This window comes from Homo sapiens, chromosome 6 (assembly GCF_000001405.40).
Source record: "Homo sapiens chromosome 6, GRCh38.p14 Primary Assembly".
Taxonomy (NCBI): domain Eukaryota; kingdom Metazoa; phylum Chordata; class Mammalia; order Primates; family Hominidae; genus Homo; species Homo sapiens.
This window is the reverse complement of record NC_000006.12, coordinates 132585301-132605692: the sequence shown is the minus strand read 5'-3', so window position 1 is coordinate 132605692 and position 20392 is coordinate 132585301. Positions and strand designations below refer to the sequence as shown.

The window sequence follows — 20392 nt, the reverse complement described above, 5'->3', positions numbered from 1 at the left end:
AATCCCATTACCCAGGTAGTGTCTACTTCTTTACTCTAAAAACTTCACAGTGTGTATGTTTGTGTGTGTATGTGTGTGTGCATGTGTGTGTGCCCATGCATTACTCTGGAAGCAGGATTAGAGGATTTAAAGAGGGGAGGGAGCAGTACAGGGACAGCTGGCTTCAGTTGGGACATTGGCACATGGCTGTTAGAATGAGAACTGTCTGTAGATATACATCTACCTAGATAGGCGTGCAGTAATCTATTTGGATAGACTTAGCTAACTAGCTGAATGAAACCGATAGCTGTAAGGTTATACGGAATCTGTGTATATTCATTAAGGTAGACATTGAGTACTCATTAAAGACTATAAATATTCATTTGGAAACTCATCTGTAACATGCCTTCCCTTCCACCCCTGTCTTCTCTCCCGTTTCACAGCTTTCCAATCGATTCTGCAGTTATCTGGCGTTGACACTTTTCTCTTAAGTATTTTAAACAGTTTCTATGCTAGGTCCTTTTACAGGCCCCAAGCCCTCTCCGCCCAGTCTGGGCATGGGGCTGGTCTGTACAAACCGGATTAAGGAGTTCTCCCTCTCAGGGTTTCAGATGACAGTTTACCATTGGGAAGCACCTGCAGGAGATCAGCTGGTGGAAGGAGGGTGAAATCGGGTACTTATCCCAGGCAACCTTTCTTCCACATTGCCCTGGGGCTGGTTGTGTTCCTCTAGGAAAGGCCATCTGGAGTCCCTCTCCATGCAGTCATCCTCTCAAAATTCCCATAACTGCTTCCTTCCCCTGACACGTTCGGTCTAGTTGAGGTGGCGGTTCCCTGCTATTGCTGCCCCTGGCTATGAGACTGCTTTTTCCTGGTTTCCTTAAACACTGCCCACACCACACCCTAGTAAATGGTCCTTTATTAAACTCTCCTCAGTCACCCAGGTTGGCTGTGCCATCTGTTTCCTGTTGGACCTGATAAAGATAGCTTTTCATTGCTCTGAGATAAAGTTTTGAAATTCTTCCCGAAGACATCAAGTTTTGTACGTACTCAATTTGGTCTTCTTTGTCCTTGCACGTCGAATCTCTCCTCTCAGCTGCACACTCCTCTGAAGGAATCATTGCCTCCTCAGTTAGTCATTCACCCCGTTTGCCCTATGTGGGGGACTATTCACCATCCTCTTCCATTTGGCTAATTTTTTTTTTAATTTTTAAGATCAGTTTGTCAGTTTGAGTTTTCTGTGTTCTTTTTGCTTTTAGAAAAGATACGTCAGCCTGGCACAGTGACGCATGCCTGTAATCGCAGCATTTTGGGAGGCTGAGACAGACGGATCACCTGAGGTCAAGAGATCAAGACCGTCTTGGCCAAAATGGTGAAACCCCGTCTCTACTAAAAATACAGAAATTATCTGTGCATGGTGGCACGCTCATGTAGTCCAGCTACGCAGGAGGCTGAGGCAGGAGAATTGCTTGAACCCAGGAGGCAGAGGTTGCAGTGAGCCTAGATCATGCCACTGTACTCTAGCCTGGCGACTGAGAGAGACTCTGTCTCAAAAAAAAAAAAAAAAGAAAAGAAAAAAAGAAAAGAAAAAATATGTTAAAATAATTTTGGTTTTTATTTTGGCTTTTATAACCAATATTTCGTTTATAAAATAATATTGAAAAACCTAGCTCTTCCTTAAAATTTCACTTAACATGTAACTTTTATTTAACTTATAATTTATAAACTTTAACTTATGATTATAACTTATAAGCAGAAGTTATTCTGTATATACATTTAGCAACTTTTAACACCTTTCAAGTGACAATTACAGACCAGTGAATTGAATTCCCTTAATATTTTATTTGAATTTATTACATTAAAATGCTCAAGTTCTCTTACTGATGATTTAATTATCAGACACATAAAAACTTCCATAATACTTAAATTGTAAACTTAATGACTTACTTACAAATACAGTGAATTTGAAGATTCCTGAAATTATAGTACCTTTTATAAACATTTTAAACTTCTCTTGTGCCTTTCCACTTAAAAATTATGTCTAGATCAACTATTTAATAATATATTCTAAGTGGTAATCACAAAGTTATTTTAAGTCTTTTAACATGCTAAATTCTCTTAAACATTACCAATATTATAAATGACAAATATATAAAGATCATTTCCAAAATGAATACAAGCGATATTGATTTCCCTTGTCATTTCTTTTTTTTTTTTTTGAGAGAAAATGTGCTAATCATATGCATATAATACATTCCTGCAAATGCACATATCCCAAGATTTACAATGGGAAAAACTGGTTTTGAATGACCATATATTGTTTGTACTAAATAAGAATACTAATTTTGCATCATTAGATTTGTCCCAAATAATGGCTGACAATTTTCTTTCTTTTTTTTTTTTTTTTTTTTGAGATAGGGTCTTACTCTGTCACACAGGCTAGAATGCAGTGGCACAATCACGGCTCACTACAGCCTTGACCTCCCTGGGTTCAAGCTATCCTACCACCTCAGCCTCCTAAGTAGCTGAAACCACAGACACATACTGCCACACCAGGCCAATTTTTTACTTTTAGTCAAGATGGAGTCTCACCATCTTACTCAGGCTGGTCTCGAACTCCTGGGCTCAAGCAATTTACCCACTTCGGCCTCCCAAAGTGATTACAGGCTTGAGCCACTGTGCCTGGCCGACAATTTTCTTAACTCCCTTTGTCACTGAACTGCAGCAAGGCCATGTTTCTTATTGCAATGTTATCTGAAACATCTCAATGAGGTTGAGGTTAACTGCTTGCAGTTTTATGAGCTCTTTAGTTCATGCACAACCTGCTGCAAACTCTTATGAAAATAAAACAAAACATTTTTTTTTTAATCCATAGCCCTAATCCTTTCTGATCAGTATTTATTTTTTTGGTATTGTCTTTTTTTTTTTTTTTTTGACTTCTAAAGGTCTTAGAGCTCCAGAATGTTCTTAAAGTGTTTTTACTTGTACATTGTCATTTTCTATACCTAATTCCAAGCCTTCACAAACTTAAAGATAAGGGTCCTTTAGACCAGGGGTCCTCAACCTCCAGACCACAGATGGGTAATAGTCCTTGGACTGTTAGGAACTGAGCTACACAGCAGGAGATGAGGGGCAGGCAAGCAAGCAAAACTTCATCTGTACTGCATTTACAGCAGCTCCCCATTGCTCGCATTACGGCCTGAGCTCACTGCCTGTCAGATCAGTGGCAGCATTAGATTCTCACAGGAGCATGAACCCTATTGTGAGCTGCGCATGCAACGGATGTAGCTTGCACCCTCCTTATGATAACCTAATGCCTGAGGATCTGTCACTGTCTCCCATCACCCCTGGATGGAGCCATCTAATTGTAGAAAAACAAGCTCAGGGCCCCCACTGATTCTATATTATGGTGAGTTGTATAATTATTTCATTATATATTTACAATGTAATAATAGAAATAAAGTGCACAATAAATATAATGTGCTTGAGTCATCCCAAAACCATCTTCCCCCACCTCATTTGTGGAAATATTGTCTTCCAAGAAACCAGTCCCTGGTGCCAAAAAGGTTGGGGATGGCTGCTTTAGACTACAGCTAAAATAAAGTTTTAATTAAATTAAGTTAAATTAAATAGAATTTGATAAAAATAAAAATAAAGAAAATCTTATTTTAAAAATCATAATTTAAAAAATTCAGCACATTCATTCAAAAAATATTTTGAATTCAAAAAATTCAAAAAGAGTCAAAGTCTACACACTAAAAAATAAGTCTCTCCTTAATCTCTGTTCTCTGGTCTTTCAGACATCCTCCTCAGAGGTAGACACTTCTTTAAGATATGTAAGAAACACAGGCCTATCTGTAAACAATCTTGTATGTACATATTGCTCCCACACACTTTTAAAAAATGGCAAAATATTACACATGCTAATTTTAATCTTGGTTGTTTTACATACTGTCACATATTAGAGTTTCATTTTATGTCAGTAAACATAGACCTGCCAAATTTTTTGAAAAGTCTACAGAATATTCTATTATTTGGAAATATCCTAATTTATTTAACTAGATCCCTACTGTTTCTGGTCTTTTGCTACAACAAATAATGTTACAATAAATATCCACAAACATGTTTCTTTATGAGAATGCATCAGTAAATACCGTGGTTGTTTGATTTTTTGAAATGTATTTTACTGCATGTCAGTGATTGTATTATATCACTGCTTTGTCTGTGGTTGAGTAAAGTACATATTTCTTGCTGCCCACCAAGGGGCATATAGCACAGAACACAATGGTAAGCTAGAATTAAACCCTGTCCTCTAGCTATCTGCATTCTGGTGGGAGAAAATAAAACATGTGGACAGATGAATATATACTTTGCAAGGCTTTTGTCCAATAAAGTAAAAGAAATCTGATTTGAATCATTTGAATTTTGTATTTAATTCAGATTTATTTGTTAGTTAGTGTATGAGAAAAAATTCTATTAAAAATTCAAGATTTCAGTTTATGAGTACCTGTTGGTCTGGTGTGTTTTTTCTTTCTTTGTCTCTTCCTTCTTTCCTTCCCTCCTTCCCTCCTTCCTTCCTTCTTTCCCTCCTTCCCTCCTTCCCTTCTTCCCTCCTTCCCTCCCTCCTTCCTTCCCTCCTTCCTTCCTTCTTTCCCTCCTTCCCTCCTTCCTTCTTTCCCTCCTTCCCTCCTTCCCCCCTTCCTTCCTTCCCTCCTTCCCTCCTTCCTTCCTTCTTTCCCTCCTTCCCTCCTTCCCTCCTTCTTTCTTTCCCTCCTTCCCTCCTTCCCTCCTTCCTTCCTTCTTTCCCTCCTTCCCTCCTTCCCTTCTTCCCTCCTTCCCTCTCTCCTTCCTTCCTTCCCTCCTTCCTTCCTTCCCTCCTTCCTTCCTTCCCTCCCTCCTTCCTTCCTTCCTTCCTCCCCTCCTTCCCTCCTTCCCTCCTTCCTTCCTTCTTTCCTTTTTCTTTCTTTTTCTTTTTGTTTACTTTGTCCTTTTATCTTTATTGTATATTAGTTTTTTTCTTCTTTGGGGATGAGCAGTTAAGAGTGGTTTACTGGTACGGTAATCTCAAGGAAAGATCATGTCTTTTTAATGTCCAAAGCATGTAATTGTTTTTCCTTTTACAAATTAACCTTTGTTGTTCCTACTTTTAGAAATCATTAAATCCTGCAATTCCAGGAGTCATTTTATTCTCCATGGAGCTCCAGCATTGCTGTCAGAGCAGTTCCTCCTCATGGCCGATTGGGGAGTTCAGAGCCTGTGCATTAAGCTGTCAGGTTGGGAGAGCATTGAGGAGTCATCTTCATGCCAAATCATCTTATTTAGCCAAATACCATTGAAACATTTGAGTTCTTTCCTGGACCTGGACCTGGCCAAATACCTAAAGCCATTAACAGATCTTCTCCCTCAAAGAAGGCATGTAAATGTTTTACATTATTGTCAAACTGTAAACAATAATGAACCAGCTCTTTAGGTAAAAGAAGTTAAACAATACTACTACTAATAATAATTTGCCTCTATAAAGGGACTTTTTCCAAACTCTCGAGGAACCAGCTGTAGCTGGGTAGCATCCTTCCCTCAGGAGTCTGAGAACACATTCTGAGGGGCCCCTGTTCTGTGCTTCTAGGTTCTGATAATTCAACCACTACTTCTTTCCCCAATCTAGGGAGGTAGATGCCTCCTACAGTTACTATTAGTAGTAACCTCATCAGGGTTTTTTTGGTTTATTTTTTGTTTGTTTACAAATGCTTTTTGCTCTTTAAGTTTTCAAATGTATTTTAAACTAATTTTCTAAATTAACTTCTTTCTGTTGAAATAAAAATTTTCCATTCTATTCTCCTGACTGGACCCTGACTGAAGCAATCAAAATTTATAAAAATATACTATTAAGTATAAGACAGAAATTTGGAAAGAGAAGTTTTATAAACCCAGATGAGCATATAGAGGAAATCCAACATTTCCAGCCATCCCCATTCACGAAGGCATTTAATTTCATGAAGAATATCCACAGAGGACATAATAAAGTTAGTCCTTACCAGTTGATTTAAATATGAATAATTTGTTTCTATTTCTACAAGAGCAAGCTTTGGGCTGGGAGCGGTGGCTCATGCCTGTAATCCCAGCCCTTTGGGAGGCGGATGCAGGTGGATCACCTGAGGTTAGGAGTTCGAGACCAGCCTGGCCAACATGGTGACACCCCATCTCTACTAAAAATACAAAAATTAGCCAGGCATGGTGTCAGGTGCCTGTAATCCCAGCTACTCGGGAGGCTGAGGCAAGAGAATCACTTGAACCCAGGAGGTGAAGGTTGCAGCAAGCCAAGATCCACCACTGCATTCCAGCCTGGGTGACAGAGCGGGACTCCGTCAAAAAAAAAAAAAAAAAAAAAAAAAAGAAAAGAAAAGCTTTGCTGTTCTCCAAAGTGTTGTGTATTTAAGTAAAACAACTGTGTGGTGTTGATGAATAATAAAATTATCAATGGAAACTCCTTGAAGCTTAGTGTCTGGAATTATGGCACACTAATGGAAATGTCTTCCCCAGTGATCGTGAAAATACCGTGGTGGTGATGAAGAGTCCCCTTTTCATCCAATTGTGTTGAAGCCTTGTTCTTTTTGCGTTTAGCTTGGGCTAAGACCTTTATTTGAAAAATTATGAACTTAAAAGAACTGCAGTATGAAGGAATATCACTGACTTTTGCATGGCAGGAAAAAGATATAAATGAGTCAAACTTTCACTAGAGATTAAAGAATTCATGGAATCAATGCATTATCAAGCATTTGGTAATAAGTGGACGGAGCATGGGTTGTATTTCAGCTACATTTTCTCCTTCCTCTCTCCCATCCTTCTTCTCTTCCTCTCTTCCTCCCTTCCTTCCCTCTTTTTCATTCTTCCTACCTTTGGCCTTGTGTGAGGCTAGTCCTTGTTGTCCCTCTGAGGTCATAGCAATGTTTGCACAGAACTGAAGCTCCCTCCCAGAGCCATTTCTCTGGTGACTTAACTATAATCTCTTGCTGGCAGCACACCGAAGGTTGTGAAAAGACACACGGGTCAAAAGCAGGACATAGGACACTGCCCCTAGAGGCATATTTTAGGCATAAATACTGGCAGCAGCACAGCCTGCTAGGAGCCTACCTACAATAGTGTGGCCCCAAGTTCCTAGGATGTGAGTGTGAGCAGGGCAGACAACAAGAGAACACAGTGCAAATTTGCTTGGTAAGAAACCGTAGTGTAACAGATAACTCACCTTTCAATTATATTAATTTCACCAGCCTAATTAGCCAAATTTTGGCAAGCCAAAGGAGAATATATTAGGACAGAAAAAAATTAGATAGGTTTATTTTCTTTGTTTGCTATTTTTTGTGTGTTGAAAGATACCCCTCTTAAAATACTGACCCATAAAAATAAATCTGGGTCATTTTCTTAAATCACTGAGATTTGAAAGAAACAATGATGGGAAGACCCACAGCAAATCTTTCTTAAATCTAATTTACCAATAATTTCCCTTACCTATGCCACTATTGTAAGGATGAGATATATCAAAGTAAGATAAAATTATTATTTCTGTGAAAATGGGGGCAGAAGTAGATTGTTTGGGCTATGTAACCAGTAAGAGAAAAATCATGCCTGATAAAGCAGGTATGATACGTCCTCCCCTAATTTTTTCCATTTATTTACAATGCATTGCTGAACTAGTTGAGCTATATTTCCCTCTTCTTATTTGATGGAAATATGTGTACACTAACATATTTCAGGGTTCTAGTACTGGAGAAAAAAAGTATTGCATAAATCCCCTTTTCCTTGAAATTCCAATAATTGTTTACATTTTCAAAATTATTATTTCAGAGTTCTTGTTTATGTTTCATTAGTCTATCGTCTTCTCCCTTAAAGAACTACATTTGAACGAAAAAGCTATGCAGTTCTTGCTCTTATCTCCAGAATTGTCAACGGATGTTTCTTTCTGCCTCCTAGAAGAAATAACTAATAATTTCCATGGGTGGTTGTTTGCAATGCTGTAATTAATTTAGCCCTTTGTTGCTGATGCTTGGGGGAAATGTTATTGGTAAAAAAGAGAAAAAGGCACAATAATATCCCATGAAAAAAGTGAGATGCCATAAAGGGCTTAACTTTATTTTATTTTGTTTTTAAAAAAATGCTGTATCTATCTTTTCTGAAGGCGAATCTCCAAATAAAAGGAATCTTTATTCTGTTAAGTTTTAAATAATAAACAAAACTCCAACTTGATTTAATTTTATACTCAGTTCCCTTTAGCAAACAAGCAAGCCAGCAGTCATATTTTCATGTGGTTACTTGTTTTCATAACTTTTCACCAAGAGCTTAAGATAGGAGTTTGAAATTATTCTTATCTTTGACATTACCTTAACAATTCACCCATGTAATAATTTTAAACATATATGTGGGTGTCTTACTCTATCTTCTTGTCTTAAACTAACACTTAAATGTTTAACCATTTCCTTATTATATGTAACTGTAATATATGAGAGAATACTGTTAATTTCTATAAGTTGTTTCATGCCATGTTTTTCAAATAAATAAATAAATAAATAAATTCACTTTACAAACTGAGGAGGTTAAATTATATTCTTTCAGTGATTAGATTTTCAAACTTGGAAGTTAAAACTCTAAAACTGTATAATGAAATGTAAAATTTTGTATGGGGAATGCTTTATTTATGAATATATAGTGGCAAATGCTGAAATGACTTTGTAATTGTTAGCTTTCTTAAAGATTGATTTTTAAAAGAATTTAAAAAGAATTGAGGAAAGGTTTTTAAATTACAAATGCAGGGGAGATAAAGAGCAGGCTAAATTTAACTTATTAAATAAAATATTAGATATTAAGATTTGATTATTTGCAGCCTTTTAGAACTTTGGAACCAAACTGACTAGTAAACAATTTATTCTGTGTATTCTGATTGCTAGTCTGCACTTTATAAAGGAGCTGAACACATCTTTGTTCTTCTTACATTTTATTTCCCTATGGCTTGGTGTTTCAAGTACAACTTAATTGTTTAATATTTGATTGGTATTTAAAAAAAACCCTAAAAAATTTTAAGAAATCAAGTTACTATATCCAGAGCAAATAAAACATGTCATAATGTTAACATTTAAAATAATATACAGTATTGGAGATCATTGCTAAGCTATTGTAGCAAATAGTGAAAATAGTATTTTTAAAGGTGCTTGTATTTTTATTAATGTCTTTTTCAATTAAATCTGGTGAGGATGTGCTTGTGGGTTCATTTTCCCAAAGGACCATTCAGTTTTAGCCTATTCTCAGGCCAAAGTCCATTTCAATTGGCCTTAGATCGCATTCGTCACCAGAATTACACATCCAGCTCCGGCACTGGAAAAAACAAATCAAAACATGTCATACTCTGGATAAGTCAGTCCCATTATTTTCACATTACAAGGGCAATGGCATTAATTATACAAAATGATAGATTAAACAATGAGCACTCACACGTATCACATTTGTTACGAATATAAGACGAAAACAGGGGGAAAGGACCTCAACTTGAGCTTGAATTCATGAATACAGCTGCTAAATGAAAGGAGATAAGCCACAGATTTATAGAATCTGTTATTTGTGGGTTTTTCCTTTATATTTTTGATTATTCACCTATAACTTTGTGATCCTCAGTATATTTTTAATTTGCCATAATATAGCTCAAAACTCTAAAAACTATGTTGTTCTCCATACTGGAGAGATAAATGTTTCCTTAATCGAATAGTATGTCATAAGTGGCAGGATGGAAAGCATTGGCAAATGCTCACACATAAAGTTAAAAAGGAAGCATCAGCATAATATTCAGATCATAATTATTGTTTAAGCTAAACATTAAATAATAGTTCCACAGTTCTTCATAATCCTTGAGGAGATTTTATTGTTTAAAAACTGTCCAATATAAGCGAGACAGGAAAAACTCAATCTGCCTACGGATTCGGAATCCTGTGTAAGGTTAATATTAGGGCAACTGGAACATGCGTTCACCTGCATGCAGACTCTCAGCCCTCCCCTAGAATCAGAATCTGTGTTTTAAAAAGATCCCTAGGTGACTTGTATGCATGCAAAGCTTTAGGAAGCAGTGCTCCTGGTCAGTAGGGAATTCATATTTGGATTGTACATGCAGGCTTAGTTTGGCCTCTGAAAAAAGCTGTGCTGCTGGTGATTTGTATTGTTGTACTGTGTCTTTCTCACACAGAACTGAGAGGAACACAGCACTTTTGAACAAGATTCATAGTACCCATGAGACAAAGATGATGAATTTGCCTGACCCTCAGAACCCCCCAACAGTACAATTTTGCTTTAGTTCAGTTAACAATTCATGCCCTAGAAATGTGAGGCCGGTGCTGAGTGTCTGGGCCATGTACCTGGTCATGATCGGGTCTATAGTGATGACAATGCTGGGCAACATGATCGTAATGATTTCCATCGCTCACTTCAAGCAGCTCCACTCCCCGACCAACTTCTTGATCCTCTCCATGGCCATCACTGACTTTTTGCTGAGCTGTGTGGTCATGCCCTTCAGTGTGATCACATCCATCGAGTCCTGCTGGTATTTTGGAGACCTCTTTTGCAAAGTCCACAGCTGCTGTGACATCATACTCTGCACCACCTCCATTTTTCACCTCTGCTTCATCTCAGTTGACCGTTACGATGCTGTTTGAGACCCATTGCAATATGTCACCAGAATTACCATCCCTGTCATAGAACTCTTTCTACTCATCAGTTGGTCCATTCCCATCCTTTTTGCCTTTGGCCTGGTATTCTCAAAACTAAACATAATTGGTGCAGAAGAGTTTGTTGCAGCCATTGATTGCACAGGTTTGTGTGTGTTAATATTTAATAAGCTCTGGGGGGGTACTGGCCTCCTTTATAGCTTTCTTTCTCCCAGGGACAACCACGGTGGGAATTTACATACATATTTTTACAGTAGCCAGGAAGCATGCCATGCAAATTGGCACAGGTTCTAGGACTAAACAGGCTGGGTCAGAAAGCAAAAAAAAAGGCATCCTCTAAAACAGAAAGCAAGGCCACCAGGACCTTAGGCATAGTCATGGGAGTGTTTGTGTTGTGCTGGCTGCCCTTCTTTGTCTTGACGATCACAGATCCTTTCATTAATTTTACAACCCTTGAAGATCTGTACAATGTCTTCCTCTGGCTAGGCTATTTCAACTCTGCTTTCAATCCCATTTTATATGGCATGCTTTATCCTTGGTTTCGCAAGGCATTGAGGATGATTGTCACAGGCATGATCTTCCACCCTGACTCTTCCACCCTAAGCCTGTTTTCTGCCCATGCTTAGGCTGTGTTCATCATTCAATAGGACTCTTTTCTGGTGGGGAATCTTGGATGCCCTTTCTCCACACAAGTAGGGGCATGAATTGACCAGATAAGGAGATCCTTCCAGTTGGCGTAGTGAACATCTAGGTAGGAGTTATAGATGAGCCTTCCAGGTATACTAAAGCTACCAAAGCGGTCCATTTCTGGGCTTTGGGGAAAGACAACTCCAATAAAAAGAATCTCTCCCAAGTCTTACTGACTCCTGAGATTCCAAATTAGGGATCTAGAATTTTAGTCTTTTGGCTTAAATCATATAGAGATTTTCTTACTTTAACTTGAAAACATCAGATGCAAAAGCAAAGTTGGTTTCCACAATCATTGACAGCCATGTATATCTGAGTTTATCTAAATCTTTCTTGAGATTGTTGTTGCTTGTTAGGGAAGTGGGAGAGAGCCTGGGCATACAGGAAGTCTGAGTTATGGAGCATGCTAGTGATGCGGAAAGGGAGAAAGACACAGACAGTTGTAGTTACTTCCAATTGTAATGATTTTGGCTGAAACCCCTTTTCAGAAAGAACTGATGTGAGATTTGCAATATTTGATAAAATTGGACTGTCTTACTAAATGAGAAAAATGAATAAAGAGTTTGGGAAAATATGCTTTCTTTCTCCCAATATACACTTTAGATCCATGTATGTATGCAGCCTGTGTGTACACATAGTGGGGATGCGTCCATGTCTTTCATGTGTGTACATATATTCATTATCCTCCCAGACTGAACTTTACAAGGGTGTCCACAAACATTAGCTCAATAGTTTTTCAAAACAGCTCCAAATGCTCTTCCTAGGCTAGGCCAAGGAGAGTGAAGCAGCCATTTTCATTCCTAAACCAAATCTCCTCTTCCCAGGACTCATCTAAGCTGAGCAGAGTAACCATTATCTCAGGGGGAATGGTAATTTCCATGATACTTGCTGTCTGTATTAAAAGTCACTCGGTTCAACGAACATTTATTGAGCACCTACTATGTGCCAAGTGTTGCTCTGATTGTGGTTCAGAGATAAATAAAACTCAAACCCTGGCCTCAAGGGAATTTTGACTTCATAGGAGGGACCATAGCCACTCAGTTACACTACAGGGTAATATGTGTTGTGACAGAGCCAGGCACAAGAGGCCATGAGAGCATGGCAGAGGAAAATTTAGCCTGACATGGGGTTGTGGAGAGACTGCCTGCATTTTTGACCAAAGACTGTAGCATCAGGTTTTGTAAGGGAACCAGAGCCTCTATTAGAGTCAAGGGAAAGCTGGGGAAGTGGAGTTAGAGCATCAGAGAAGGGGTCACTAAGCCAACTTCCTGAAGATCGGCATGAGGAAGCAAGTTTGAGCAAGTACTTTCACCCACTGAAGTGAAATTGCAAAGACAGGGCATATGGCAAAGTCTGTGGTAAGCTGTTGCCCCTGGGTAGCTACTGTTCTGTGGTCCTTACCCAGGAATTCAGTGGTAGATCTGGGACCACTGTTGCTTAGCAATGTCAGCAGAGAGGAAGAAGAGCCGGGTGCAGAGTAGAGCTAGGCCAAGTGTAACTTATAAATAAGAACTTATAAATAAGAAGTTAACTGGCTTATGGTTCTGCAGGCTGTACAGGAAGAATGGCTGGGGAGGCCTCAGGGAATTTACAATTATGGCAGAAGGCAAAGGGAAAGCAGGCACATCTTACATGGCTGAAGCAGGAGGAAGAGGCAGAAGGGAGGTGCTACACACTTGTAAACAACTAGATCTCATGATAACTCATTCACTATCAAAAGAACAGCACCAAAGGGGAAATCTACCCCCATGATCCAAGCACCTCCCACCAGGCCCCACCTCCAACACTGAGGATTACAATTTGACATGAGATTTACACGGGGACACAGACCCAAATCATATCAGACAGATTTTGAGGAATCAAGAATTATTCTGTCCTATGTGCTCTCAAAGGCAGGCAAAGACCGTCCATAGACAACAGGCTATAGAAAGAGAATCTCTGAACCTGAGTGAAGTCTGCCAGTTTGAGCTTGTACTAAGAACACTTCCATCTGGCTTCATAATTTCAGGTTATCATAATTAGCACAGCCTCATTATAATCGATTTTGTTAAAGTTGGCGGTAATTTGAAAACAAATTTGGTTTCTAGTAAGTAAAGTGCAGAGGAGGCTACACATGATGCAGCGGGGAGATTTAAAAGAAATAAAAATGTTCTTTTATTCAAGACCTTTAGCAGCTTGCTGCAACATTAATGAATCCCTAAGGTAAGCAGGAAACCTTAGTAGATCCAGAATCCAATTACTTTTGCCTGTGATTGTTATGTAATGGAATGTATTTCTAAAAGTCAGTGGAAGAAGGGATAAGAGCCCTAACTTGGGAAGGTTAACAGTTATCTGCACTAGATATCCACTCGAACTCTTGTCTGCCCAACTCAACTTTCTACATGCCAGAGACTGCACTTTATGAATTTTAACTCATTAATATTCACAAGATTGTGACACAGATCATGTATTATATTCAATTAATAGATGAGAAAACTGGACACAGTGGTGTTAAGTAATCTGAGACATAGAGATCATACAATTGTGTTACATATTACATTTTAGTAGGTCTGATGTAATCTATCCCAGAACAGAAAACCTTTCCCTGTTTCTTCTTCAGCCTTATTCCAGCTACAGGACATTTGTTTGTATTTTTCACAAGTTCTTGGTCAAATTAAATATAAAGCCATAGGACTCCTTGGCCAATTATATGTGGATTATGACTTTTAAGCTAAAGGGGTTTCAAGGTACCTAGTAATGCAATATCCTTCCTTGTGTCTGATTAAGTTCTGGAGCCAGATATGTATTTCCACACATATGAAGCTGGCATAAGGCAAGATTCCAGCGGTAGCCAGGCTATAGGGAGCTTTGCCTTGGGAAACACTGGGTTTAGCCATGGATTTGTAGAGAAAGGAGAGGTGCATACCAACCTCCTTCCTTCTTTTTGACCTGCCCCACCTCCTCTTCCAGGCCCCTCTGGCAGATGTAATTTGGTGTCACCTCTAGAATTCTGTCATTTTTACAACTTTAGTTTGACTGATACTGTGAAATGGTTTCTCTGTAACCATAAAGAGGCATACCAGCTTCTAAGATATCAAGAGGCAGAGAGCAGAATACGATTCAACATGTTATTTACCTTGATAATATCCCTGTGAAATCAAGTTACACAGGTATAATTGTACCTACTCTTACCAATGGGGAAGCAGAGAGAGAGGTTAGGTATGGCATAAGAAAGGATGAAACAGGAATTTAACTATTCTTCCTCCAGGTGAACTGCTTCATCTACCATGCTTTCTTTCACCATCACAAAATATAGTGCTCAAAAAACACATAATGATGAATCCTGTGTGGAAGTCACAAACCACCCCTTCATGAACCAAAAAACCCATGATCAATTATTCTCAACTATTTCTCATGTTGAGAGAAATATACACAAATAATACTAAAGCAGAAGAAAAATAAGAAACTCACTAAAAATGAAATTAGAAAATATATAGCAGCCATTAGCAGGCAAGAATACCTTCAAAACATCCCAGAACTGAAAAATTAAAAAAGAATATATACATCCACCGTCTTTAAATTTTATCTCTAATTAATTGTCAGGGTAAGTGATTCTGTATTGAGGAGGAACCTTAAACAACTGAGACTTGCAAATAGTGCAAACTAGGTCCCATGGTGCCTCTTCACAGCTTATTTGTATCATAGCACATGGAGGAGTAGTTTCTATTGAGAGTATAAAATCGTTAACTAATTGCACACCTGTCATTGTGGCCAACAGAAGAGTACTCTGACATTCCCTGTGTCCACCTGCTCCAAGAAACATTTTTTCCCAGGAAGGGATTCTGATTCCTACCTGTGTAAGTAACTTAGAAACTCTGAATTCAATATATTAGGACTTGGTTAATAATTCACAGACTTACATTAAGATGTTAAATAGATAAAATCATTTTGCCTATCAAATAGTTATACCAAGATGTGTAAACACTTTGTGTTATCATCATAAAATGTGCAGCATTTAAAGCTAAAATAGAGCAATTTTCTACTCTTTTAATTATTAATATTTGCATGCTGAATTCTTCTCTTGGGAAGAGTTGGCATGTAGCTAAAAATCTTAATCTGCTAACTTTATTGTCAATGTATGTAATTCTTAAAGAGAGAAGCTAGAAGTTACACTTTTTCCAAGGAATAATTTATTAACAAGAATTAATTGGTCACTTGGTTCAGATCTTTGCTTTAAATTTCACTTTACATTTGACAAAAAATACCTTATCAAAACGTAAGAGACATTCTCTATTATTTAATACTACCTATGGATATAATCAAGCTTTCTTTGAGGAAACATTCAGCTTACATCCTTCTTTTCTTTCTTTAAGAATACTACCTACACTAGTTTTAAAGTGCCTAGTCATATAAACTAGAGCTAGCAGAAGTAACTCTCATGAAACCTTGAATACTATGCTGCATTTGATTTTCAGGGCACATTTGATTCAGTACCCAGGGGCACTGTACTATGTTCCAAACTGTACTTTAGTTTCTTCCTCTTCGTTTCACTCTGTGATTATTTAGCAGACATATTTTTTTTTTTTTTTTTTTTTTTTTTTTTTTTTTGCCCTCCAGTGGAGAAGGTGGCCAGTTCTCAGACAGAGGAAGAGTAGAAATCATAAATGAGAGCTGTCTTCATCCAAGGTGCTGAAGAGCACCCTGCGGCATTCTGCTACCAGGTGAATGGGTCTTGCCCCAGGACAGTACATACTCTGGGCATCCAGTTGGTCATCTACCTGGCCTGTGCAGCAGGCATGCTGATTATCGTGCTAGGGAATGTATTTGTGGCATTTGCTGTGTCCTACTTCAAAGCGCTTCACACGCCCACCAACTTCCTGCTGCTCTCCCTGGCCCTGGCTGACATGTTTCTGGGTCTGCTGGTGCTGCCCCTCAGCACCATTCGCTCAGTGGAGAGCTGCTGGTTCTTCGGGGACTTCCTCTGCCGCCTGCACACCTACCTGGACACCCTCTTCTGCCTCACCTCCATCTTCCATCTCTGTTTCATTTCCATTGACCGCCACTGTGCCATCTGTGACCCCCTGCTCTATCCCTCCAAGTTCACAGTGAGGGTGGCTCTCAGGTACATCCTGGCAGGATGGGGGGTGCCCGCAGCATACACTTCGTTATTCCTCTACACAGATGTGGTAGAGACAAGGCTCAGCCAGTGGCTGGAAGAGATGCCTTGTGTGGGCAGTTGCCAGCTGCTGCTCAATAAATTTTGGGGCTGGTTAAACTTCCCTTTGTTCTTTGTCCCCTGCCTCATTATGATCAGCTTGTATGTGAAGATCTTTGTGGTTGCTACCAGACAGGCTCAGCAGATTACCACATTGAGCAAAAGCCTGGCTGGGGCTGCCAAGCATGAGAGAAAAGCTGCCAAGACCCTGGGCATTGCTGTGGGCATATACCTCTTGTGCTGGCTGCCCTTCACCATAGACACGATGGTCGACAGCCTCCTTCACTTTATCACACCCCCACTGGTCTTTGACATCTTTATCTGGTTTGCTTACTTCAACTCAGCCTGCAACCCCATCATCTATGTCTTTTCCTACCAGTGGTTTCGGAAGGCACTGAAACTCACACTGAGCCAGAAGGTCTTCTCACCGCAGACACGCACTGTTGATTTGTACCAAGAATGATTCCTTCTACTAAATGCAGGCAAGGAGTAGGACCTCACAGGAAAGATAAGTGGCACTGTGACCGTGGGCTGTGTGGTGTTGAGTTTGTGGGCATGCTTCCAGGACAGCATGGGTTAAGTAGAAGAGAAAGACAAGCTCCTTAACTTGGAAAGGGATAAAGCACTCCCCACATTCAATGTTTTATATATATGTATGTATATACACGTATATATATATATACGTATATATATATTTATTATACTTTAAGTTCTAGGGTACATGTGCACAACGTGCAGGTTTGTTACATACGTATGCATGTGCCATGTTGGTGCACTGCACCCATTAACGTCATTTACATTAGGTATATCTCCTAATGCTATCCCTCCCCCCTCCCCCCACCCCACAACAGGCCGCGGTGTGTGATGTTCCCCTTCCTGTGTCCAAGTGTTCTCATTGTTCAATTCCCACCTATGAGTAAGAACATGCGGTGTTTCGTTTTTTGTCCTTGCGATAGTTTGCTGAGAATGATGGTTTCCAGCTTCATCCATGTCCCTACAAAGGACATGATCTCATCCTTTTTTATGGCTGCATAGTATTCCATGGTGTATATGTGCCACATTTTCTTAATCCAGTCTGTCATTGTTGGACATTTGGGTTGGTTCCAAGTCTTTGCTCTTGTGAATAGTGCTGCAATAAACATACGTGTGCATGTGTCTTTGTAGCAGCATGATTTATATTCCTTTGGGTATATACCCAGTAATGGGATGGCTGAGTCAAATGGTATTTCTAGTTCTAGATCCCTGAGGAATCGCCACACTGACTTCCACAATGGTTGAACTAGTTTACAGTCCCACCAACAGTGTAAAAGTGTTATTTTTTATAGTACATTGGAGGAAAAGGAGAGCAAGAAATCATCTTAATATCCACTGGATAAGCCAGAACACTGTGCACATATTTGGTTCCTCATTCATTGCTTCCTTGAAACAACTAGGATGCAACAACGGAAGGAACAGAGCCCTGAGGTCTGGCTTTCTGAGTTCTCACACTGGTTCTGCCACACAGAGCAGCCAAGAGAGATTTCAGCAATCTTTGAATCCTCCCTCCTCCCACCACAGATGGGAGTTTCCTCATCTAAAATAAGGTGTTTGTAATATTTCCTTTCTACTGTGTTCTTAAGTGAAATATGGCATAATCTAACTTCAGGAAACCTAGTTTGAATCATAATTTCGCTTCATATTTCATAATCATAATCAATTGTTTAGAATGTCTCTTCCTCAAAATGTTCATTTTAGAAACCTCGTCTCCTAAAAACCCAAGCACTAAGCAGATTTGTCATCCAGGTTTGTCCATTGTGATAATCACTGAGTAAAAGCATCATATTCTTGAAGGAATGTTTTTTCTTATCTTTTTGAATAATTTAAACCTGAACATAGTTGGAATATTTTGTTAAGTGATAATTATCCACATCTTTCCGTTTTATTATTTCTTTCTTTAAATTTTTCTCACACAAGTTAGACCGGCTATCTTTCCAGGAACACCAGTACATGTTTTTGTTTTTGTTTTTGCTTTTTATAAAAACAAGTCCCCATGCCACGTGCTTGCTCGGAATTGAACCAAATGTTTCTCAGCAGCAATTACTAGTAAGGGCACTAGCACCTTTATGTACAGCCTGCCTGTCTTCTCCTGAATATTTTCCTAAAGCCTCTAATCACCATTCCTTTATATTTATTACTGAGATTTTTTCAAATTAATAATTGCTTACTTGAAAAACTTCTTTATAAATTAGTTCAAAGCCTCAAAGCCTCTCCACTACAGGTGCACAGATAGCTGTAGCTATAGATGCAGATACAGGTGTATCAATCTCAATAGGTAAACTTAGACAATGAAGGAGGGAATGTGTTTCAAGAGCAATTCATATGCCAATAGTCAGATAAGTAGACGTTAAACAAATACTTAAAACAATCATTCACATGTCAATAATAATCACTAAAGGAGTGGCCGGGCGCGGTGGCTCACGCCTTTAATCCCAGCACTTTGGGAGGCCAAGGCGGACGGATCACCTGAGGTCAGGAGTTCAAGACCAGCCTGATCAACATGGAGAAACCCTGTCTCTACTAAAAATACAAAATTTGCTGGGCGTGGTGGCACATGCTTGTAATCCCAGCTACTCGGGAGGCTGAGGCAGGAGAACCGCTTGAACCCGGGAGGCAGAGGTTGTGGTGAGCCAAGATTGTGCCATTGCACTCCAGCCTGGGCAAAAAGAGTGAAACTCTGTCTCAAAGTGATAATAATAATAATAATGGTAATAATAATAATAATAATTGAAGGAGTAAATATCTTATTTTGTCAATGAAGTTAGCTAAAATGGGTTTATTCTGTTTATTTATATATAGATATATGGAGAGAGAGAGAAGTGCTATTAACCCCAAACTTTCCTCCTTATTTAAAAATAATTGTTGTAAAAATATTTTTCCACGTATTCTTTAGTGCTTCATTTTTCTTTGGAATTAATTATAGTTTATTTTTTGTTAACTCTTAGGCATTATTAAATAATTAAATTACAGATGAATTATAAACTAAAACTTATCCTAGTATATATAGTTTTGAGTTATTAAGAAGCTAGAAATACTATGCCTTTTGTATAACAATAAATATAATTTGCAACCTATAAGTGAGTCATTACTTTAAAAAGCATATTTTTCTCTTGCCTTTCTAGAAATAAGCCACCCCATTCCCAATCAACTGAGCATAGCAGTCTCCATCTTGGAAGTAAAAGATCCGGCTGCTTCACAAGGTGGAGCTCTGAACTAGTCACTTCAACAGAAGCAAGAAATGATTCTGCTTCTTGCACATATTATTGTTTCCTGTTAGGTGGAGAAGGCTGCCTTAGCCAGATAGGCCCTCAATGAAGAGAAGGGAAGGAGCTAACAGTTACTGAGAACCTATGATGTTCTGCATCTCACTTAATGCCTATAAACCTGTGAGGTGGATATTATTACCCTTACAGGGCACACAGATGAGGCACGCAAAGATCTGGTAATTTACCTTGGCATCCTTACTTGAAAATTCTTAATCTATCTTCTTACTTGAAAGCTGTTAACCTATCTACTATTTCTCTGAAATATTAGGGAAATCTGGACAGCTAATAAATCTGTGAATAGGACTAACACTGAAAACCAGATAGGAGACTCCAGTTTCCAGTGAATCACAGAAACACAAGGACATGTGTGTCATGATACAATGTTTGCATCACCAAAGAACCAGGGGAGAATGAGAAAAAGAATCGCACCTTCAGTGGACACCACAAACGGAAGCATGAGCTGATGGTTGGAGAGGGGAGGCACCCGACCCCAGGATTTGAAGCCCAGCTCTTTCATCCTCTTCGTTAGGAGA

The 20392-nt window shown here is 38.9% G+C and overlaps 1 protein-coding gene and 1 pseudogene across 2 annotated transcripts in view; both read left to right on the top strand.

The window, feature by feature from the left end:
* TAAR5 (trace amine associated receptor 5) overlaps positions 1–17101 on the top strand; it is a 28156-nt gene extending 11055 nt beyond the window's left edge. The window contains exon 4 of one of the 2 annotated variants that reach the window (NM_001389527.1): positions 15960–17101. In NM_001389527.1, coding sequence (NP_001376456.1) covers positions 16007–17020 — 1014 coding nt within the window. In that variant the 5' untranslated portion in view covers positions 15960–16006 and the 3' untranslated portion in view covers positions 17021–17101. Of the gene's footprint in view, positions 1–15951 lie in introns of those variants that run through there. The other variant, NM_003967.3, reaches the window with a different exon arrangement.
* Positions 10254–11304, top strand: TAAR4P (trace amine associated receptor 4, pseudogene; annotated as a pseudogene).
* Positions 17102–20392: the final 3291 nt, after the last annotated feature.